At 33.1% G+C, this 24,846-nt stretch overlaps 1 protein-coding gene across 1 annotated transcript in view; it reads left to right on the forward strand.

Moving 5' to 3' along the window:
* ZNF804B (zinc finger protein 804B) overlaps nt 1–20,795 on the forward strand; it is a 578,829-nt gene extending 558,034 nt beyond the window's left edge. Inside the window, exons 3-4 of the mRNA NM_181646.5 lie at nt 9,611–9,741; nt 15,630–20,795. Of these exons, the coding sequence (NP_857597.1) occupies nt 9,611–9,741; nt 15,630–19,299 (3,801 nt within the window). The 3' untranslated portion in view covers nt 19,300–20,795. The remainder of the gene's footprint in view (nt 1–9,610; nt 9,742–15,629) is intronic.
* Nucleotides 20,796–24,846: the final 4,051 nt, after the last annotated feature.

Genomic DNA, 24,846 nt, shown 5'->3' on the forward strand with positions numbered 1-24,846 from the left:
TTACTGATCCATATGCCACAATTCTCCAGTATTATCACCAGAACAACCCAAAACTCTCAGCTGCTCTGCTCTGGCCAACCAGTATAGACAGAGCATGCTTGTGAAGGGAAGATAAAATGAACTTTTAGAGCATGCAAAATTTCTTCAACATTAATTCAAGGGATGCAACATATTTTTTTTCCTAGTAAGAAAATAACCTATTTGAAGAGAAGAGCATCAAAAAGTATTATGTAGCAGATTCAACAGAATTATATTACATCTTAATCAGCAACAGTTTAAAAAGCCAAGGCCTAGATCAGGGATCAGTCATCAAAGAACACTCTTCAATATTAATAAACCTCATTTATGGTGATTAAAAGAGAAGGACAGCTCTCTCCACATTTTTGTATTTTTAACTTAACTTCTACTGATTATAAATTATTTCTCTTGTAATTCAGCTCCATCATTCGGTGAACCTACATTCTAGCAAATTTGGAGTTTGGGTGGCAGGGGCTAATAGGAATGGAAAGAGGAGGAGGCAAACAATCTTGGGGCAACAGTGCTATGTGGAATTGTCTAGACTGTGGCATGTTGATTTTCTCTCTTTTGCTTTTTTCCTTTGATTACTTAAGAGCTATCTCATTTTAACTTCTAATAGTGATCATGCAAACAAAAAGACAAAAAGGAGAAAAGATGTACCTTTTTACTGGAATAGTATTTATGATTAAAAGTCAAACAAGGCATTTTTGTCAATATAAAGGCAATTTTAGCCAGGCACAATGGCTTACACCTATAATCCCAGCACTTTGAGAGGTCAAGGTGGGCAGATCACCTGAGGTCAGGAGTTTGAGACCAGACTGGCCAACATGGCGAAACCCTGTGTCTACTGAAAATACAAAAATTAACCGCGTGTGGTGGCGAGCACCTGTAATCCCAGCTACCTGGGAGACTGAGGCAGGAGAATTGCTTGAACTCGGAGGCAGAGGTTGCAGTGACCTGAGATGGTGCCACTGCATTCCAGCCTGGGTGACAGAGCAAGACTCCATTGCTGAGACCAGCTCATTCGGAGAGACTCTAACCCAGCGGCGCTAGAGGAATTAAAGACACACGCACAGAAATATAGAGGTGTGAAGTGGGAAATCAGGGGTCTCACAGCCTTCAGAGCTGACAGCCCCGAACAGAGATTTACCCACATATTTATTAACAGCAAACCAGTCATTAGCATTGTTTCTATAGATATTAAATTAACTATAAGTATTCCTTAAGGGAAACGAAGGGATGGGCCGACTTAATTGAAGCAGGAACACGCCCTTAAGACACAGATCGCTCATGCTAATTGTCTGTGGCTTAAGAATGCCTTTAAGTGGTTTTCCGCCCTGGGCAGGCCAGGTGTTCCTTGCCCTCGTTCCTGTAAACCCACAACCTTCCAGCTTGGGCATTAGGGCCATTATGGACAGGCTATAGTGCTGCAGAGATTTTATTTATGGCCAGTCTTGGGGCCAGTTTATGGCCAGATTTGGGGGGGCTTGCTCCCAACACTCCATCTCAAAAATAAATAATTAATTAATTAATTTTAAAAAATTAAGGGAATTTTGGCTTACACAACTTCTCCTTTACCATAAATACTGTTATATTCACGCCATTCACTATCAATAATAAATGTTTTGTGATGAATATTGGCATTGTAAAACCAAAAACTCAAAAACCCTCATCCAAAAACTTTATGGGCAACTGAAAACCCCTCCCATACATGGAACTGCACAGAGTACCAAGAGGCAGCTGTCTGCCGCTGGTAGACAAGAGCACTGAGAAAGATATAGCTCTACTCCTGTGTCCAAGTCACAGGTGCACAGAGCCTGTTTACGCGTGAAAACATACACATTGAAACAAAACTTCACACAAACACATACTCTAGGACTTTTAGCAAGTACTACACAGTAGCAATGTACTTCTGAGATAGAAGAATACTGATAGAAAGTACTTCTGTGATGCACGCACACAGGGCCAGCTGAAGTATTAGTGTAGAGAACTAATGATAAGGTAGTGTCTATATGCAAATCAGGTACTTGAAGGCTGTGGACACTGATCTTAAATAAAGCAACAAAGACCAAATGCAGCTCAACTAGAGATTGAGTTAGCCCAACACTCGTACTTGAGGGCTCACAGAAAAAGAAGCATGTCTGTTTCTGGGTATAAATATTATATGCATTAATCTGTACTGTTCATCTACAAACAATGTTCAGTATTTAATTTAAAAATTATTTGGCACATATAAGTCAAGAACATATTGCTCATCATCAAGAGGTATAATAGTCAATACAACTAGATTCAGAAATGGGGTGGGGGGCTAGGGGAGGGATAGCATTAGGGGAAATACCTAATGTAGGTGATGGGTTGATGGGTGCAGCAAACCACCATGGCATGTGTATATCTATGTAACAAAACTACACATTCTGCACATGTACCCCAGAACTTAAAATATAAATAAATGAATAAATAAAAACAAATAGCCTACATGTTAGAATTATCAGAAACTTTAACAAATAATAATATATTAAAGGATTTAGTGGAAAAAGTAATGATATACAACAAAAATGAAAAATTTTTAAAGTACTATAAAAAAGAATAAATAAAAATGCTAGAAACTAAAAACATGGTATCAAAGATAAAGAATTTTTCTGATAGTCTTATCTGCTGACTAGATATAGGAGAGGAAATAATCAATGAACTTGAATCCATGCTTATAACCTAACTAAATAAAAACACACACAAAAAAACAGTGCCAAATAACTGTAATGGAGCACTTGTGATATTTAGCACAGTATAAAATCATTTAGCATATACACTATTGGAGTGCAAGAAGGATAAGAGAGCATGAGGTAGAAAAAAATGGAAAAGATACTATTTGAGGATTTACCAAAATTAATAAAAGATACAAAACTACAGATTCCAGAAGCTCAGAGTATCCCTAAAAGGACAGATATAATGAAAAACATGCCAAGGTACACCATAGTCAAACTTATAAAAAATAAAGAGAAAATCTTTAATCCAACCAAGGGGATAAAAAAGAAACTTTACATACAAGAAAGCAATAATAAGAAGATAGCAGACATTTTAGAAAAAGCATGCAACTAAATGATGTTTTTAAAGTGCTTCAATTAAAAAAGAAACTAGAAATACATATCCAAAAAATATGTTTCCTAAAAAGTAGGTAAGATGAAGAACTCATACAAAAATGTATAAATAAAACAAGACAGAGTAAATATGTTAGGAAATACAAAAGTTCCTTTAAAAGTATTCTTAACATATGATTTTTGAATGCATCAAGTAAAATAATAAGAAATAGTTTACCATGTATACTGAAATGAAGTATATGACACCAAAACATGACATATTGAAGAGTATTAGTTGAAAATATACATTAATATTATTTTAAATGGATCATATTATAGAATTTTAACATAAACTGTAATAAATTTATGATGCGGCCAGGCACGTTGGCTCACGCCTGTAATCCCAGCACTTTGGGAGGCTGAGGCGGGCGGATCACGAGGTCAGGAGATCGAGACTGTCCTGGCTAACAAGATGAAACCCCGTCTCTACTAAAAATACAAAAATTAGCCAGGCGTGGTGGCAGGTGCCTGTAGTCCCAGCTACTCAGGAGGCTGAGACAGGAGAATGGCATGAACCCGAGAGGTGGAGCTTTCAGTGAGCTGAGATTGCACCACTGTACTCCAGCTTGGGCAACAGAGCGAGACCCCATCTCAAAAAATAATAATAATAATAATTTTATGTTACATATTTTAATGTCTAGTGCAACTATGAAAGTGACATAGGTAGACGTAACTAAATAATCAATAGAAAAGATAAAACAGAATTCTACAAATGTTAGATCTACTAAAAAGCATATAGAAAAAAGAGAAAAGAGAGAAAAGAGCAGATTCACCAAGTATACAGATGGTATTTTAAGTATACAGATGGTATACAGAAATACAAACATTGAAATAATTACATTAAAGGTAAATAAATACCTAAATTAAAAGGAAAAAAATCCTGAATGAATAAAAACACAAGATCCAAATAAATGGCTTTTAAAATAAATACATTTTAAAGACACAATCTGTTTTAAATTAAATGAATAAAAAATGATATACCATACCAACACTAAGTAATAGAAAAGAGATATGACAGTACTAATATCAGACAAAGTAGACTTCAAAGGAAAGAGTATTTTGAGATGAAAAGTGGGATATTTCATAGTTATAAAAAGTTAACTAAATAACAAGATATAGCAATTCTAAATTCCTGAATATGTATGCATCTGATGCGAAAGTTCTCAAAAACACGTAGTAAAGATTGATGGAAACAAAGGGAACTATGGACCAATCACAAAATGTAAGTGCAGAATTTTATATCTTTTCACTAGTAATTGATAAAACAAGTAGGCACAAATTTCCGTAAGGTAATACATGATTTAAGCAAAACTGTTAACCGCTTGACATAATGATATTTATAGAACTTGAAATACAGCAAACAGAATAAATATTTTCTGCTTTCAAGTGCACATGGTATATTTGCCAAGATAGACCATAGGCTGAGTCAGTATAAACGTTTCTACAACTATCTTAAAAACATTTATGAAACTGTCCAAGACCTGACATCATGCAGAATATGTTCTCTGACCAAAATTGTATTAAAATAGAAATTAGTAACAATAAGATATCCAGAAAATGTGTGAATATTTAGATGTTATTGAAAGCATACTACTAAATAATATCTGGTTCCTTTAAAATATTAATAAAATTAATAATCACTAGAAAGACTGGTGAATAATATAGAATACACAGATTGCCAATATCAGGTTTAAATGAGGTAACATTGCATTAGATGCTTCAAATATCAAAAGAATAAAAAGAAAATTTTTGGAACAATGTTTTGACAATTAAAAAGCTAATTTAAATAAAATGTGAAACAATCTTGAAAGAAACACATTACCAAAACTCACTCAGAAAAGAATAAAAAATCTATTTTGTCTTATATATCTTGCATAAACTGAATTCATGATTTAACAAGTTCCGACAACAACCAGAAAAAATACTCCAGGAAAACATGGCTTCAGTGGTGACTCTAGTATTTTAGGAATATGTAATATTAATTGTATGCACAGTCTTTTAGAAAATAGAGGATAAAACATTCTCTAACTCATTTTATGAGGCCATTATTACCATGGTATTTGTTATAGACCATAAGTTTATGTTCCCTCAAACCCCAATATAATAGTATTATGAAGTAAGTAGACTCTTTGGGAGGTGATTGGACATGAGGGCGTAGCCTTCGTGAGTGGGATTAGTGCCCTTACAAATAAGACAAGAGAGCTTGCCTCTTCTCTCTGGCCTAGGCCATGTGAGGATATAACAAAAAGATGTCCATCTGCAAACCAGGAAGAATTTCATAACTAGACACTGGATCTGTCTGCAGGCAACTTGATCTTGAACTTCCCAGCTTTCAGAACTGTTAGAAATAAATGTTTGTTAGCTAAGCCACCCAGTCTGTGGTATTCTATTATAGCAAACTGAATTGACTAAAACCACACTAGAATGACACAAGAACTTTGAAAGATAATACAGACCAATATCACACATGAACATAGATGCAAAGTTCATAATGAATGTTAGCAAATCAAATTCATCAATATTTCAAAATGTTAATATAAAAACCAAGCAATATTTATCCTATGAATGTGAAGTTTAACACAATAAAATGCATAGAAGTTATTCACTACATAAAGGGAAATTAATAATGTGATCCTTTTAATAGATGCAAAAATGTATTTAATAATATAACACACTTGTATCATAATTATGTTGCTTAGTTTTCTTTACTATATGGCCATCTACCTTTATCATTAAAGGATAAGAATGCAAGGTATTGTTCTAATCTTACCTATGTTACCTCTTTGTTTATTACCTAGACTGTAAGGTAATAAAGCAGATTCACTCTTTACCACCCGCTTTGCACAATACCCTATTTGTTTTCCCATTATTGTGTGTAAATGTGTAAAGTAGCATTTTTTTCTGAAATATGTATGCCATGTGCTGTCTGTTCTCAATAAGAGCTGATTCATTACACACCCTCAAAGAACATTTTCCTTCCAAATGGATTATGTTCTCTTTAAATGGAGGAAGGTTACTGACAATCATTGTATGTGCCATGGCTGAAGTAAATGAGTTCTTGTCAGAACAAGGGGAGAAAAATAGAAATTTGGGCTAAGCCAAAACATGAGGCTGGCAAAATTTGGCCTCTGGATTCTTAGAAGTCCTCCCCATCTGTCCAGTGATTGATAGTCCTCTTTTCATCATACAAAGACACTTTTGGAAGGGTCTTTTATAAGAGATACAATCACTTTGGTGTAACGTTTTCCGTAAGTATTGGATTTGCAATTAGTATTTTGTTGATGTTTAATAGCAAGACGTTGAAATATTCTATAATAATTGTCCATTTTTTCCTCCATGCAGTGGGTATCCATTTTCACTTTGTGTATTTTAATGCTCCATCATCATTATGAAGAAACCTTTCTTATTCCTGGTAAAATATCTTTGCTCTGAGATCTAATCTGTCTTACAGTGATATGGCCCCCCTAGCTTTCTTTTGACAAGTGTTGACATAATATGTGTTCTTACATTCTTTTCTTTTGACTCATTTTGTCCTCATTTTTAAAAAAGCTTGTTTGTGTAGTCAACAGAGTTGACCTCACGCTTTTATCCAAATGAATACTCTCTGTCTTTTAATTTTGGTGTTTAGACCATTTACATTTAATATATTATTATTATGTTTAAATTTTATTTATTATCTTGTTATTTATTTTATAATTGTCCAGTCTACCTTACCTTCTTACTTTTTTTTTTTTTTTTTTGCATTTTCTTGCACTGAGTACATTTAATGATTTTCTTTTATCTCCTTTGTTGTCCTCCTGGCTAAAACACTTTATCATTTTAATGGCTGCTGTAGAGTTCATAGTATATTTTTCTTTAACTTACAGACCAGTTTCAACTGCTATTACATCCTGATAATATTTGATTGGATACAAAATATTAATTTTTCTCATTTCTGTTGGCTATTTTTTTTTGTATTGCAATACATATCCCAGTGTTTGGTACTATGATTCAGCTAGTTATGTGGAGTCAGTTTTATACTTTTATTTCCTGCTTTTATGATTTTTTTAAAGCAACTCCAAAGTAGTGCTGAATCTATGACTAATTATCCTCTACTGATGCATGACTTTTCTGAATTATCTATTCAATATCCTGTCATTTTTTTCCAGTTTTGTTAGTGAAAACAGCCACTATTCCTGGCTTTATATGAATGCTAGACACTGTTTTTCTTAAACTGTTTCAGATGATTTTTTTTTCCTAAACTGGAACAGTTTCCTCACAGAGATGCATTGTTCAGTACACTGAAAACTTGCAGCAGATCTCTGGGTTTTTTTTTCTCTACTTAAACTTGAGCACTCAGCACTGACTAAACCAAATTTGTGGCTAGATGTCTTTAAACAAAATCTCTTCTTCCAGTTTTCTGTGTTCCTTAAAAACATTTTAACTTTGCAAACTTCCTAAACACAATTAATCTTTTAACTATTCCTGTATATTTCCAAAGCACATTGTGTACACCCTTATTAAGAAACTCAACACTATCTTACAGAAGTGTAAGCACTTGTCTGTCTTCCTTGAAGGGAAAAAAAAATTGATTTGTTGATTTGTACATTTTTACACTTCATAGTAAGAATAATAAGGATTAACATAGTAGCAATTAACAATATTTGTTGTTAGATAAACAATACAGAATTCTCAATCATTTCTGTAACTCAAAAATAAAAGTATAGTCCTGGAATCTAGAAGGCTAATAAAAGAAACAGAGGTACCCCAAATTTTCAAACAGGATTCCAAAAATGAGTCAAGTGTCAATTGTTGTGAGTAAATGAATCAATTTCCTTCTCTTTATTATACAAGTTTTGTGTGCTGGTAATACCTAATATTAAATAAGTATAATATGGGGTATTTATATTCAGTACTAACAGAGTATTAAAAAAACCCTCTCCTTTTTTTCCAAAATAGCAATTTTCTCTCTCTGACACAGTTGTACTATAGTTTATGTTTGTTCTTAAATCATTTAGGACAATTTCCAAAAGGTCTTTGCTTGTAAGACAAGGCTTCACTCTAAGAAATAGGCTTTCAAGTACATAGGGTCCGAGGAAGTGAGTAGCAGGGTACGTAGCAATAAGGATTTTATAAGCCTTTCTTCCTGTCTTCTGACCAAGGCTATCCACGCTTTAATGCTCAGATCATCTGTTGTTTATAATTTCCAGAGAACTATTGATCTTTTTTTTCTGATAACATATAGAGCATAATTATATTTCTTGAAATTTTCTATTTTTAGAAGGATTTGAATTATTTGTCAAAAATTGAATTCAGGTTGAGTCCACTGTTCTCCCTGTAGCTGTTTCTAATTCCGTGAGGTTCTTGTTCTTTGTGCTGAGAATATTCTCTCTTTGAAAGACCGATCTGCCTTCTTCTTCAAATCCTTAGCTTAGATGTAGTTATCTCACCACTGTCTACCATGAGCATGTTTCATTTAAAGAATGAAGCTAATGAAAGGTTTTGGCCCTTGCTCTGCAAGTGAGTAACAGTCGGCTCCAGTATTATTACGTCACATGATAACTATGTAGTTTTCTCCATACCTGGGAAACATCTCTTATACTTGATATGGGAAGTGAAAATAATTTCAACAGATACAGATTTTAGACTGTTTAAAATCACTTTGTATGAGTTAAGAGGATAATCTTTAAATACACTTCCAATTCAGGATTAAGCCCCAAACTTCAAGAGGTTCATTTGATTTTGGCTGTTTCTCAGTTCATTCAATATCATTAGCTGTGCTTAGTGGCAGATTCTTAAGAAGAGGTCTTACTTGCATGTAAGTCAATTGTTTTAGAGAAAATATTAATTAAAATAAGTGGTGAGTGAATTTAAATCAAGCAGGGCCATGCCTCTATTCTGAGTTTAAATCCCTGACTCATTTTTTTCTGTCTTCCTGGATACAATATAGAAATATGTATTTGATAAATATCTCCATCCAGAAAAATGAATTCAAAATCACATTTAGAGCTTTGAACCAAATCTTTCACAGTAACAGATGCTCTTTCCTGAAACAAGCTTATTCCACCCAGTGTATTTAATAGCATCACTTTTACAAGTGAGGGGCAGGTGGGTGGAAGAACATGCATCTCATAACCTGCCTCCCTTCATACTCATTCATATATTGCATGTTTTTCCCATTTGTGTTTTTATAAGCACACAGATTATTATACTTGCATAGCCAGGGTGATACCAGCGAGGCCTGGGGCCCAGCTTTGCAGTGACTGTGACAAGCTTGGAAAAATAACCTGGTTGACAACACATTTATCTGCTAAATGTGTCTTGGAGCAGAGAATAGCAACAATGGAGAAGATACTTTTACTCTTTCTGCCCAGAAAGTCACCTCTGCACTTAGGATAAAGAATAATAAGGAGCCTTGTGGATGGAAAAGAATATATTATTTATTTATAGTACCTTTTTGGTTTTTCTTCTTTTTCAAGAGACTGAAAGAATTAAAGCAACGGGAATTTGCTCGAAATGTAGCTTCTAAGTCATGGAAAGATGAGAAAAAACAAGAAAAAGCACTTAAACGACTTCATCAGCTGGCTGAGTTAAGGCAGCAATCTGAATGGTAAGAATTAAAGGTGTCTGGGATGCTTCAAAACTCTCGTCAACCTATGGGGAAATTTTAAAGGCAAATCTACTGTAACAATGTAAACAAATAATAACTAACTAATAGATATGTCTGAAGGGCAAATATAGTTAAACATACATAAATTAATAACTTTTGGCCTTTGATATTTTTCTTTCCTAATATTGTTAATTTAATGTACTCTATAATGAAATGATCCCAGAATGATTCAAATACATTAGCATTTATTCTATCCAGTTGACTAAATGGATTAATATCACTTCTTAATATATTTTTTAAATTTTGTAATAATAATTTTAAAAACCATAATTAACAATATATCTTAGGGGGTGGGGAATAAGTCTTCTGAACATTTCCGTGTACACACCTGTGTCTAGTACAAATAACACGATCATTGTCTGGCTGACAAACAAGATGTAATTAATGCAGTTAAATTTACCACACAGTGCCATTTAAATTGATAATTATAATATAACAAGTTTTATACTAATACATTCTTGTAGCTGAAAAATAGCAGTTTTACCAAAGCTTGGAACCACTGGATGTTTCAAAGTTGTTACCTGGAATGCAATTAAATTTGTGGATTGTGATTTGTGTTCATATGAATCATAATGTAAAACACTAATGTAGCTAATTAATGTGTTTGACAGCAACCTAGTGAATTGTGAAACTTATGCCTCTGTGCCAGAATTTAAACACCTATTGCTTAAATGGAAAGTAATATATAATAAACAGGAGTGAGTGGCTCAATTAGTTACCACAAAATATTAGACTTAAAAGGTAATTTTAAGGAAACATTTATTTTTGTAGGACCAATTATGAGTAAAAATGCAATTAATATTCAGCTTGCATGTATTTATTTATAACTTTTAGAATAATCTAATTAATTTATGAAAATACATAAAAGATAATCATATTAACAAGAAATGAGAAATTTCATATGAAGACAAAATAAAGGTACAACATGTAGCCAGAAGTAAGGTTAATACAAAAATGCATGCTCTGGGGTCTTATACAACTCTAGAAGCAACGCATACATTTGGTACTGAGCTTTCTACAGCCAACACAATGAGGGACTTACAATATGTTGTGCAAACATACTGTTAATGAGAACTCAGTCCTTGCCAAAATAGGGCTTAGAAGGAAAAGTTCTATTGTTGTTAGGGTAGCATGCAGGAAAAAATCTAGGGAAAGTGTTAATTCCTGTGATTAATAAGGAGATGCAGTAAGTCAGATCATAACAAATGGTACAAGTTCTAACATAGATATACGTCTTTAGACAGGTCCCTTAAGGGCACAACAGTAAATCTAAATAGTCTTAACAAATATAATTTTGGTTGTTTGTTATTATGAAAGTTGTCACACTTCTACATTTCTGCTTACCCATTCTATATTTTCCTCTGGAGTAAATAACAAAGAATCAGAGGTGCCTTGCTGATGGCAGTGGTCATGGTGATGGTGATGATGATAATGATGCTGATGATGATAATGATGCTGATGATGATAATGATGGTGATGATGATGGTTTATTTAGAAGTTCCAAGTTTGCTAGAGCTACCCATTAAGTTTCTTTCAAATAAAAAGGTCCACTCTATTAAGTTTCAGCTGTCCCTCTGGAAGCCTTATTCACTAAACAAACACAAACCTAACCACTCCTTTTGGTGATTTGATAAAATAGGCAAACTCTCTAGGTCACAATGTGCCCGTATTGTTATGGAAAAGACAAGTGTTCAGCTTTCTAGATATAGAGCCTGAAACTAGGAAAATAATTTTTTTTTATCGTCTACTGCCCATCACCTGCCTCTTAGCCAATTGCTCTCTCTGCTTAAACAGACTCATGGTTGAAGGAAAGTCACTTAACAGAATTATTAAATACTTTATTTTAGTAGGTGAATTGACAAGTGAAAGTTAAAAATAAAATAAAAAGAAAAAATCACTGGCATTACCCTTCTCCTGGACAATCTTTTCTTTGTCCTTTTTCCTCATAATGAGGGCTTCTGAATAGGATGATCCAGGTAACACAATTCTTCTGTGACCCTTTGGGAGAAGAGAGGTGAATTTACTGGTAGTGCATAAAATGATGGCAAAAAAATGGTAACAGATCTTATAAAGGGTCATCAAATTTGACCGTCTCTTAACTAGTTCCAGCCAACCTGTTTCCTCAGCAATAGCAGTTATTATATGGGGCTGAGGGTTTAGTCCCTCTCTGTATGTGAACTTCTTATGTATGTAAGTTTTAGTACATCTTAATATGGAAATTTTTCCAAAATTTAAAAATTTTAGGGCCACTGATTCTGAGACTATGAATTTTTTAAGTGGTGTCATTTCTTAATGTTCCACGTTATCTAGCTCTTATATGAAGTTTTTCATATAAGAGCTGGAAAATGGAACACGAAAGAATGACACCATTTTAAAAAATCATGTTGTTTTGATATGTTTTTCTTTCTGTTTGGTAAGGATGCTTTTTGAACAGGAGAGAATCAAAATGTGCATTTGTTAAGCTGCAGAGTATTAGAATTTTTGGAGAACAATTTGAATGGAAAATCCATCAATAAGAATTAAAAACCAAACTCTACAGACACTTTATTAACCATTATTTTAATATAAGTAAGAATATATTTTCAAAACTAAAGAAAGTTCCAAAGAAGTGAGGGAAATATTAAATGTGGAGAAAACTATAAAAATTGAAGTTTCATTGAGAATGCAACTGTGGTTTCAAGGGGCGGGCTGGTGGGAGAAATGTGAAGGTATTGTTCAAAGTTTATAAACTTTCCGATGTAAGATGAATAAGTTTTGAGGATCTAATGTAGAGCATGATTATCTTAGCTAATAATACCGTATTGTTTACTTGAAATTTGCCAAGAGAGTGAATCTAGTGCCCTTATCTCACACAAAATGGTAACTACGTGTATGATAGATGCACAAATTAATTTGTTTGCATACATCAAATGATCACATTGTATACCTTGAATATATACAATTTTTTTCCAGTTATATCTCAATAAACCTAGAAAAAGTTAAAGCTTTAATAATGTTATAATACCCAAACTTGTATTAAAATAGTAGAATTTAAAACCCCACAAAGATAAAAACAGGATTTTCCAAAATAATAAGAATAACTTTGATTTAAGAAAAAGCAAATTAAAATTTATAAAGCAACAAGATAAAAAGTTTAAAGAATAAAAGTAAGAAGTGTCAAAGATTAACAATAAGGACAAAATGTTAAAACTTGTGAAAAATCTGTAATTATAAATGCAGTTTAAATTGGAAAATGAGAACTAGAATTAAGGACAAGAAGCTAGAGAACATTGTATTAGAAAAACAATAAGAGCAAAGAAATTTTAAAATATTTAAAAGAATGTAAAAAGAAGAAGCTTGCATATTAGAGAGCTACATGGTAAAATAAAACAGCAGTACAGAAAAGAACATTTAGATTAACATAAAGCAAGAAAATGAATAAAACAGTGTCAGGATAATCAGCAAAATTATTATTAAGAAAAGTATATATATAATATATTTAACATGATATAATAAATACTAAAATAACTGCATAATAATGGAATTGGGAAAGGAAGAACAATAGTATCCATACACTAGACTTGTGGAATAATTTCAACTGTGTTTCATACAGGTGATAATGTCAGATCGATTGAAGCTTCTGGAGAAGATTAACTTAATCCAGAAGTATAGTTCCTACTTAATCCAAATTGTGGCTACAAATATGGAAAATAATCTCTTTGGTACCAAGGCAAAGTTGAATGCTGCAGCTGTTTCTGGATCACTTCCTTCTATCTGCAGGCTGGAGGCACTTTCAAAGGCCAATAATGTTGTAATAAAGTCTCTACGCTCCTTATTTACTTTTATGCTTGAAAGAAACATTCAGTAACTCATATACTATCTTAGAATGCTCCTCACTATTCATTTTATTAAATATGCCTAATGAACATCAAAAATTTACTCAATAAAAGGAGATTAATGTGATGAATAAGAACTTTCCGTTATGAAAGAGTTACTGTAAGGAAGATAATACAGCTTTTAAAAACGTCTAAATTTAGTTTTTTACAAGATTTAAAGGAACTCTGTAATTCTAAAATTACAGCCATTCATGAAGAGGAGACGTTCTAAAATCATTAAAAGCTAAATGGTGGCTAAAATTAGTGTTTGCAAGTTAAAATCCATATGGTCATAATTTGTAAACAGATTGAATATTGTAAAAAAAACTGAGTCAGTAAAATAGAAATAAAATCAAAGAAATTCTCCCTGAACTATAGAAAAAGACTGAAGACAGAATAAAGTACTGAGATAAATATCAATACCTAAAGGATATATTCAGGAGAGCCAATGATTTTAAAACATAAATTCCAAAGGAAGCAATAATCAGATAAATCAAGGGAAAAAAATGTATCTGAACTGAAGAAAGTTAAATTGAAAGTGCCCAAGAACAAAAATTCACCCAAATTAATCAACCTTAACTATGTTCTATTAAAATGTTATACATACATATATGTATATATTAATATACATGTATATATACTCTTTATGTAACAAATCTAATGAATTATATATATTTATATTTTTACACTTTATAAGAAGGGAAAAGCATACAAGCACACAAGCAGATTCATCTCAAAGATAAATAAAGGGAAGCTAATTCAATATGTCTATAATATGATTCATCTAGAGACAATGAAGCAAAGTACATGAAATTTGGTGGACAAAAGGAATGTGATGACTCTAGAGTTCGATGCTGATTTGCCAAAGAATGGTAAAAGAAACCAACAAGAATTTGTTAGACAAGGACTCAGAAAGCACTACTCTACATTAGAACTTGAGCAACATATGGAAGAGATACCAGTTGGCTTAGTATTTTATATTCAAGCAACAAATGACTAGAGGAAAGTAAAATAAAAATCAAAATTAGAAATAAGCAAACAAACACATCCAAGTATATGGAACAAGAAAAAGAATGCCAGTTCAAAGCAAACAATAAGAAAAATGATGTGATTTGTATTGTCTTCTTTCCAGTGAAGCCTTCTTTTATAGTAGAGGGTATATAGATAGACTGTTAAAGGGCATATAATTTTAATCTAAAGAATTTTATCTCTTATATATGTTGATATTTTCAATCTTCTGTATGAATTGCTAATGAAGCTCAGTAGAACAAATAACCTTTTGAGACCTTTAAAAGATAAAACATATAATGCAGAAATGGTAGAAAAAATATTTTGGTGAGTAAGAAGCAGAAGAAAAGATTTCAAAATCATTGAAGGTATTTAGATAGATTGTACATATGTCTTATTTTATTATGCATTTATTATAATTAGTCAAATTACTGACAAGTCATAAAGAAAGAACTTACCACTGTGTTTCAAAAGTAAGTGAATATGAGGGAATTTTAAACCCAAGGAGCTAAACATTATAAAATGTTAGAAATAGCACATAAAAGCAAATTTAAAAAAATTTTTATATTTTTAAAGTGGCTTTTAATTCTATTTAATTTCTTATTTAATGTGAATGCACTGATTGGAAAACTATTAGTGAAATCATGTTAAATCTGTATTCCAAAGATTGATAGATTCTATAGGACATATATTGTGATGTAAATGCTTTAGAAGCAGTAGCATAAGATAATTCACTTGCTATTGCTTTTTGGTAATTGCAAAATACTACATGTAAACAATTCATTTTAGAAATAGCCACTATACAATTTATGCTAAGCTATATAAGGACAACAAAAGGTTATGTTTTAGAAGATGTAGCTCATAAAATGTAAAATAACTCATCTTAGAAACACTATGAAATGTTCATATGTAGATATGATTCCAAAGCTAATCTCTTAATCATTTAAATATTTATTGTATTTACAGTGTTTCTGGAAATGGACCAGCATACAAAGCCCCCAGGGTAGCCATAGAAAAGCAACTCCAGCAAGGAATTTTCCCCATTAAGAATGGCAGAAAGGTATCATGCATGAAGAGTGCTCTTCTCCTTAAAGGAAAAAATCTCCCCAGAATCATATCCGATAAACAGCGGTCCACCATGCCAAATCGACACCAATTACAATCAGACAGGCGTTGTTTGTTTGGAAATCAGGTACTGCAAACATCTTCAGATCTCAGCAATGCAAATCACAGAACAGGAGTATCATTTACTTTTTCCAAAAAAGTGCACCTAAAATTAGAATCTTCAGCATCAGTTTTCAGTGAGAACACAGAAGAAACCCATGATTGTAACAAGTCACCCATTTATAAAACAAAACAAACTGCAGATAAGTGCAAGTGCTGCAGGTTTGCAAATAAAGATACACACCTTACCAAGGAAAAAGAGGTAAATATCTCACCAAGCCATCTGGAAAGTGTTTTACACAATACCATCTCCATAAACTCTAAAATTTTGCAAGACAAACACGACTCTATTGATGAGACACTAGAAGATTCAATTGGCATTCATGCTTCATTCTCTAAATCTAACATTCATCTTTCAGATGTAGATTTTACTCCTACCAGCAGAGAAAAAGAAACTAGAAATACATTGAAGAACACTTTAGAAAATTGTGTTAATCACCCATGCCAAGCAAATGCTTCCTTCAGCCCACCAAACATTTACAACCATAGTGATGCCAGGATATCTGAATGCCTGGATGAGTTTTCATCACTGGAGCCAAGTGAACAAAAGAGTACAGTGCATCTGAATCCAAATTCCAGAATAGAGAACAGAGAAAAATCTTTAGATAAAACAGAAAGAGTTAGCAAAAATGTTCAAAGACTTGTAAAAGAAGCATGTACCCATAATGTGGCATCTAAACCACTACCTTTTCTCCACGTTCAAAGCAAGGATGGCCACACCACTCTTCAATGGCCTACGGAACTTCTGCTCTTTACAAAAACAGAACCCTGTATCTCTTATGGCTGCAACCCACTGTATTTTGATTTTAAGCTTTCTCGGAACACAAAGGAAGACCACAATCTAGAGGACTTAAAAACAGAATTGGGTAAGAAGCCCTTGGAATTGAAGACTAAAAGAGAGAGCCAAGTCTCAGGTTTAACTGAAGACCAACAAAAATTGATCCAAGAAGATTATCAATATCCGAAACCAAAGACGATGATAGCTAATCCGGATTGGGAAAAATTCCAGAGGAAATATAATTTGGACTACAGTGATTCTGAGCCAAATAAGAGTGAATATACTTTCAGTGCAAATGATTTGGAAATGAAAAATCCTAAAGTGCCTCTTTACCTCAACACATCTCTAAAGGATTGTGCTGGAAAGAATAATAGTAGTGAGAACAAACTTAAGGAAGCTTCAAGGGCCCATTGGCAAGGCTGCAGAAAGGCAGTTCTAAATGATATAGATGAGGACCTATCTTTTCCTTCCTACATCTCTAGGTTTAAAAAGCATAAATTGATTCCCTGCAGTCCTCATTTGGAATTTGAAGATGAAAGACAATTCAACTGCAAGTCCAGTCCTTGTACAGTAGGGGGTCACAGTGACCATGGGAAAGACTTCAGTGTAATTTTGAAGAGTAACCACATCAGCATGACCAGCAAGGTTTCCGGATGTGGAAACCAAAGATACAAGAGATACTCTCCACAGTCATGTTTGAGTAGATATTCTTCCTCTTTGGACACATCCCCTAGCAGCATGTCTAGCTTGAGAAGTACTTGTTCAAGTCATAGATTCAATGGTAATAGCAGAGGTAATTTGCTCTGCTTCCATAAAAGAGAACACCACTCAGTTGAAAGGCACAAACGGAAATGTCTAAAGCACAACTGCTTCTACTTGTCTGATGATATAACAAAGAGCAGCCAAATGCAGTCTGAACCACAGAAAGAGAGGAACTGCAAATTGTGGGAATCATTTAAAAATGAAAAATACTCAAAACGTAGATATTGTCACTGCAGAGAAAGACAAAAACTGGGCAAAAATCAACAACAATTTTCAGGGCTAAAATCTACGAGAATCATCTATTGTGATTCTAACTCACAGATTTCCTGTACTGGAAGCAGTAAAAAACCACCTAATTGCCAGGGAACTCAGCACGACAGATTGGACTCTTACTCAATAGAGAAAATGTATTACTTGAATAAAAGCAAGAGAAATCAAGAGTCTTTGGGCAGCCCTCACATTTGTGATCTGGGAAAAGTCAGGCCCATGAAGTGTAACTCCGGGAATATCAGCTGCCTTCTAAAGAACTGTTCCAGTGGCCCTTCAGAAACCACAGAATCAAACACTGCAGAAGGAGAGAGGACCCCTCTAACAGCAAAAATCCTTTTAGAAAGAGTACAAGCCAAGAAATGTCAAGAACAATCAAGTAATGTTGAGATCTCTTCAAACAGTTGTAAAAGTGAATTAGAGGCTCCTTCGCAAGTCCCATGCACAATTCAACTTGCACCATCAGGCTGTAACAGACAAGCATTGCCTTTGTCTGAAAAAATACAGTATGCAAGTGAGAGCAGAAATGATCAAGACAGTGCAATTCCAAGGACTACGGAGAAAGACAAAAGCAAAAGTTCACACACAAATAATTTTACAATTTTAGCAGACACTGATTGTGATAACCATCTTTCTAAAGGTATAATTCACCTAGTAACAGAGTCTCAGTCACTAAACATAAAAAGGGATGCAACAACAAAAGAACAATCAAAACCTTTAATTAGTGAAATCCAACCTTTTATTCAAAGCTGTGACCCAGTACCAAATGAATTCCCTGGTGCTTTTCCGTCTAATAAATATACTGGTGTGACTGATTCAACAGAGACCCAAGAAGACCAAATAAATCTAGACTTACAGGATGTAAGCATGCATATAAATCATGTAGAGGGAAATATAAACTCTTACTATGACAGAACTATGCAGAAACCTGACAAAGTCGAAGACGGATTAGAAATGTGTCATAAATCTATCTCTCCCCCTTTAATTCAACAGCCCATAACATTTTCTCCTGACGAAATAGATAAATATAAGATCCTACAGCTACAAGCCCAGCAGCATATGCAGAAGCAACTCCTATCAAAGCATCTTCGAGTTTTGCCTGCTGCAGGGCCTACTGCCTTCTCTCCGGCCTCAACCGTACAGACAGTTCCAGTTCACCAGCACACTTCTATCACCACCATCCACCACACGTTCCTGCAGCATTTTGCTGTTTCTGCTTCCTTAAGTTCTCATAGCAGTCACCTCCCTATTGCTCATCTACATCCTCTTTCACAGGCACATTTCAGTCCTATTTCATTTTCGACTCTGACTCCAACCATTATCCCTGCACACCCCACTTTCTTAGCAGGTCATCCCCTGCATTTAGTAGCTGCTACCCCCTTCCACCCATCTCACATAACACTTCAGCCTCTGCCCCCTACAGCATTTATTCCTACATTGTTTGGTCCTCACTTAAATCCAGCCACAACTTCTATCATCCACTTGAATCCTTTAATCCAACCAGTATTCCAAGGTCAAGATTTTTGCCATCATTCTTGCTCTAGCCAGATGCAACAGCTAAATGAAGTGAAAGAGGCCTTAAATGTGTCCACACACTTGAACTAATAAGTGTTAAAGCCCCTCCTGTGGATAATTTTTTTAATTGTCACTACCTATAAAATCATACATTTAAAGAAGTCTGTCAATTATAAGATTTAAAATATTGCTGCCAATTCAAAATGTGACAAATATATAAATATGATCTGAATTGCTAATACTAAAACAAGAGCATTTTAATAATTTTTTAGCTTGCCAAAATAATAGGCAAATTTGAATAATTTTATGAAAGCGTAGAGGGAAGAGGGAAAGAGTTAAAGATTTGTTTTGGATGGGTTCTCGCATAATGTTATAAAATAGCAACAGAAAACATTCAAGCAGAGCATTAAAATTAAAAAGAAAAATCAAATGAAATATGGCACCCTGCGTTCTAAGTATTTGTTGTGTGAATGAATGAGTGTTGATTTGGCTTATTTGTTAGATAATAAAAGGTCAGTGAAATGAAGCAATTATTTAAAGTAATTTATGTCGTTAACTATTGACTAAGTTTTCAATTAATGTAGTCTGTTACTGTATTTTCATAGGAAATAAGAACAAGACATTTTCTGATTAATTTAGGTTGAAAATTACATTTTAATGAAAAACAATCTTTATAGATTATACTTTTGAGTTTCTGTGAAAAATAAATTATCTTCATTTCACACAAATCTATGTCAAGATAATTTTGTAATTGTAAGAATCAGCAAAATCTAAAACTAAGAATGTTTAACTTTTGTATAAAAACATATACAAACTATCATTAGTATTTGATAATGCAAACTCAAAAATAAAACGTGCTCAGAATAACCTTTTAAATATATTGGTCAATCTGTCAAATATAACAGGAACTAAAATATTGTTTATTATTCTTCTACTCAAAAATTTTACTACGTTCAGCCAATACATGTATAAGGATAGAGGTAAAGGTTTGAAAATGTCAGTGTTTTTACATGTTTATTGAGGATATCTTATTAAATATCTGGTGTGTTTTATTCAATTGTACTAGATATTTATGAAACAATGAATAATGATGAATAAATTCACCATCCATGTAATGTTGCAAATAATTTCAAACATTCATTCAAAATGGTTTTTGGCCGCCAAAATTTGCATTTCATACATCTATATTGGTGCATAATCCTACAGTTAGGTTTATTATTTTATGTTCTTAAGCATGAGTTTCAGAGAAAATCAAACTTAACAGAAATGGAGGTAATCATTTATCTAATGCTGTCTATACGAAGATGCAAACTCCTCTACCACTAGAAGATTAGAGGATGTCTTCTTCAGCCTTGGCTGCAAAAGGAAGATAGCTATATTTAAGGCTTGTTGTGATTCAGGTACAGTTACCCTATCCACTTGTTTGCATTATCTTCTTTAATTTTCACAACTGTATTTTGAAATCAGTATTATCATTCCTCATTACAGATAAGGAAAATGAAATAGAAAGGTTAAATACTAAATACTTGGTAAACAGTAGGAAAGGACATCGTTGATTCAGGAGAGACTGGTGAGAGAGAAAGAGAAAGAAAGGGTGGAGGGAAGAAAAAGAATAAAAGGAGATAAAGTAAATTTGAAATTTTAACAGAAAGAAAAACTGCAGTTCCCAAGATATCACTAGAAACTTGTGAGATGAGAGTTCTGACTGGTACATAACACTGACAGAATCTAAATTTAAAATGAATGGAGAAATGAAGAAAAACCATCAAATAGCAAGGAGCTATACTTGCATGGAATTCCATAAAAATGATTATAAAAGATCACTGATGAACATTGAGTAAATCCAAAAAGAAGCAAGACAAACGAAATATTTCTTATAAAATGGATGACAAATGGTCTAGCAGATTTTTTAAGTCCTGTGGATAATTATTTCCTAAAGCAAATTACAAAGCTGATGCAGAGCCAAGATAGAGTAATCATGGAAACTCACTAGATGTCCTATTATAAAAAACACTGACCACTTGATTGATTTTTATAATTGCCTTGGTGACAATTTAAACTCTCAGAAGGTTAGACCCGAGCACCTCTACTGAGCACTTAATTTTGACTAACAAAGACAGATTGATATGAACGGATGACATGGAAGTGACTATTCCATCTTGTATTAACAGTGATGAGGTGTTCACTGGACAAACTAATTTGGACTATGTGGAAAGCAAACATCTCCCTTTAAATAAAAGATAATTTGTACTCCAGGGTGAGAAATTGGAAAAGTTGTGGCATCACGTGAGGAAAGATGCAATTATGCAACTTACTTCCCCCCAAATCAGTAACTGTAGGCTGAAACACTGTTTTATTTTCCATTTTACCTTGAGATAAACACACTTTGGGAAAAAAAAAATTTTAATATATATTGAACCCTAAAATAGTTCGATTTTAAAAAAATTGTCACTGTGATGGATTGTATTTTTAGCAGTGTTTCCTTCCATTTACATAATTATTTGACAGGTGACTTTTAGCATTAAATTTATTTTATGACTATTGCCTGATATTTACAGGTTAATTTTCTTTATGGGATTACTGTTTCACAAGTGGCTCATGGAGGCAGTTTTTAAAAAATCTGTCTTAAGCTCTAAATGCTTAAGAAAGGCTGTGAAATCTTTCCACACAAGTACACACACATGCATGCACAAACACACATTTATCTATCTATATGTCTTTCTTACAGATTATGAACCAGTCTAGCATCAGATAGCATCATTGGATTCGAGGTAAATGAAATAAATGCTTTGTATGAAGCACTGAAAATTTGGGAATGTTCATCTTCTTAATAATTGCCTGCCAAATTCAGCAAGAAAAAAAATACAATGGGCCTATAAAAATGCAAAGGTAAACTTAAGGTTCATCTTTAAGACGTTATAAATGAAATATTGGAAGTGATTAGAATATAGAGAATGATTTAAAAAGTCTCCAATTCCCAGAGTTTTTGCTTAGGTAGACATTTTATAAAATAATCCCTTGAAATTTGTTTCACTTCCCGAAAATGGATTTTACAGTGACTCCTTTTCTTTAGTTTCTGCCAGGACTTAATGGAATCTCTCTGTTATCTCTAAATGGAAATACACTTAAAGAAACTAATTCTGTAAAACGTTTCTGTTAAATGAAACACTTAACCAGTACAATTACTCAAGATTATATTGCTGAATCTGACTATCTCCTTAGTGCATGAAGTTATTACTTACACAGCTCAAAATGCTGGCAGCAACAGAGCTTTCTGAATTTTACCACCATACTTTTAAGTTGATCCTAAAACATTATACATTTCAAATCATTTGATACAATAATTGGAGATATGGAGATGGCTCTACCCATTAGGATACCGATTGGTATTCAAGTGTCCTAGATGTATATGAATGAAACGTCCAGATCCCCTCCCCAGGATGTGTGGATGTTTAACTCTTTAGTGGTGAAATAGTACTGCTGATCATCTCAAATCAGTAGCACATTTCTTAATCATTCCTAAAAAGTTCTCCACGTTTTCAGTTTCTGAGTTTTCAGAAACATAGTTAACATTCTGAAAAAAACATGTAAATGTCATATCCAGTTTTGTAAAAACACAATTTAAAAGATCTAAATCTTACATATCAATGTATGCAGATAAGATACTCAGGGGCAAAATGGACCTAATGCTCATCTCTGGCTCAGCAAAGCTCATGAAAAGGTTTAGTTTTGATTCTTTAAATTAGATGAAATTCTGAAGGAAAATGTGCTCTCATTGGCAAATAGAAACATTATTAAAAAGCATGTGAGTGGCTAGTTCCACACAATAGTCAGGAAAACAGATAGTTGCCTTTTGTGTTTCAGACTGAAACCACTTCAATAAGATGAGCATTTCCTACTAAAATACTAGTTCTCGTGCCAATAAGCCTGGGTCTAGAGGATTTTCAAAGGTTATCATTTCATTCCAGCAAAAATATTATCCACTTCTTCTATTAGGTAGACATTGAAAGTGATTGTTGTATCTTTGGATTAAGCTATATTAAAATGGAAGCAGCAGCTGAATGGGTTAGGTTTAGAATAAGCCAATATTAGAAAGAGAAGCCAAAGGGTCATTTTCATTCTATGGAGCTATATATAGGGGGGAGAGCTCCCAATCCACTTTTAAAATTATTTTCTCAAAGTCACTTCCTCTTTTTGCAACCCCCCATTTTTCTTAAATAGCAAGAGTAAGAATATCTTGTGAGAAGCATTAAAATAAAATCAGGCAAATTGGAAAACTTAAAATATGTATGAGTGCACATGTGAGTGTGAATCTGTGTGTGTTTTTAATAAATATACTCTTTAGTCTTTAATTGTACATCTTGATCTTTGTTGAAAATAGTGTTTTTTAAAACATATTCACATATTGAAACAACAACTTCAAGAAGAGGTTTCTTATCCCCAAGCAAAATTGTTAGTTCCTTCCATATGTGAGATAAAATAGTTGACAATGTAAATTAGTCGTATAGCTGTTTAAAGCAAATTCCCATCTTACTCAATTCTATTTAAAGTACTAAATTTGTAATTAAACTTGGTGATCCTCTGGCAATATGACACATAAACCAATAATTTTATGTTGCATTTTCTGTATAAATTGTCTTTTTAAACTATACTGTGGCTAAGTAAATTGCACTATTGTACATGCAAAGCAGCTTTTTTAGGTTATTCAATAAATTACTTGGACTGTAGTTCAATGCAATAATATTTTTTTCGATAAAAAGCTTAATGATATAGGAGTGTTAGTCATGTATTTCTAACAAAAAGCATACCAAAATATAAGAACAAACTCAAATGCAAAATGGTGTGGAAATATTCTGTGTTTTACACTGCTGAATTAAAGTGCATTTATCATTTTATTTATTACTGTATGTATTTATATTATATATTTAAAGGCTGGGATTTCTTAGACTATTTCTTAAAATTTTAGTGTTATTAAAATAAGCTGTTTCCTCAAGCTGAAAATAAATATAACTTTAAAAATTCTATGGATGTATTCTTTGTTGAAACCTATCATATATATACATATACTGTAAAATCTGTTTCTTTTTATTTGCTTTTAAAAATGTGAACTAATGCTTTGCAATGTTCTAACAAAGCTTCATAAATAGTCTCAGGAATGTATTCTCTAGCTGGTAATATCATATAATATGGTAGCATTCTACACATTTATTATAACTTTCATATGAACTCTAGAGATACTTTAATTAAAAGAAACCCCAGTAAGTTGTTAGTCTCAATAGGACTCAACTCACTAGGAAATCTCTTTAATCAAGCATGACCAATGTTGTGGGAAAATGACATTTCATACAACTCCCATTCATCTTTACTTTCTTAATCTTTGCACTCCAGAGTACCTGGATGCTACTCTGATATTTGTGCAAAATATCAGAACCAGGTGTTGTTAGAAATAACCACTAGATACTCCCTTGTTCTTGAATTACATCTATCCTTATCCTTCCCTTTACCCTTCAATAAGCTTTAACCAAATCCTAAATCTCCTTACTTTAGTGTTTTAATTGAATGAGCTGTCACTACCTGTGCATTTCAATGGAGCAGAACTTTGCAATGCACTCTCAACTAGTGGTAGAGTTTGAGTTT

Source organism: Homo sapiens, chromosome 7, assembly GCF_000001405.40.
Source record: "Homo sapiens chromosome 7, GRCh38.p14 Primary Assembly".
Lineage (NCBI taxonomy): Eukaryota > Metazoa > Chordata > Mammalia > Primates > Hominidae > Homo > Homo sapiens.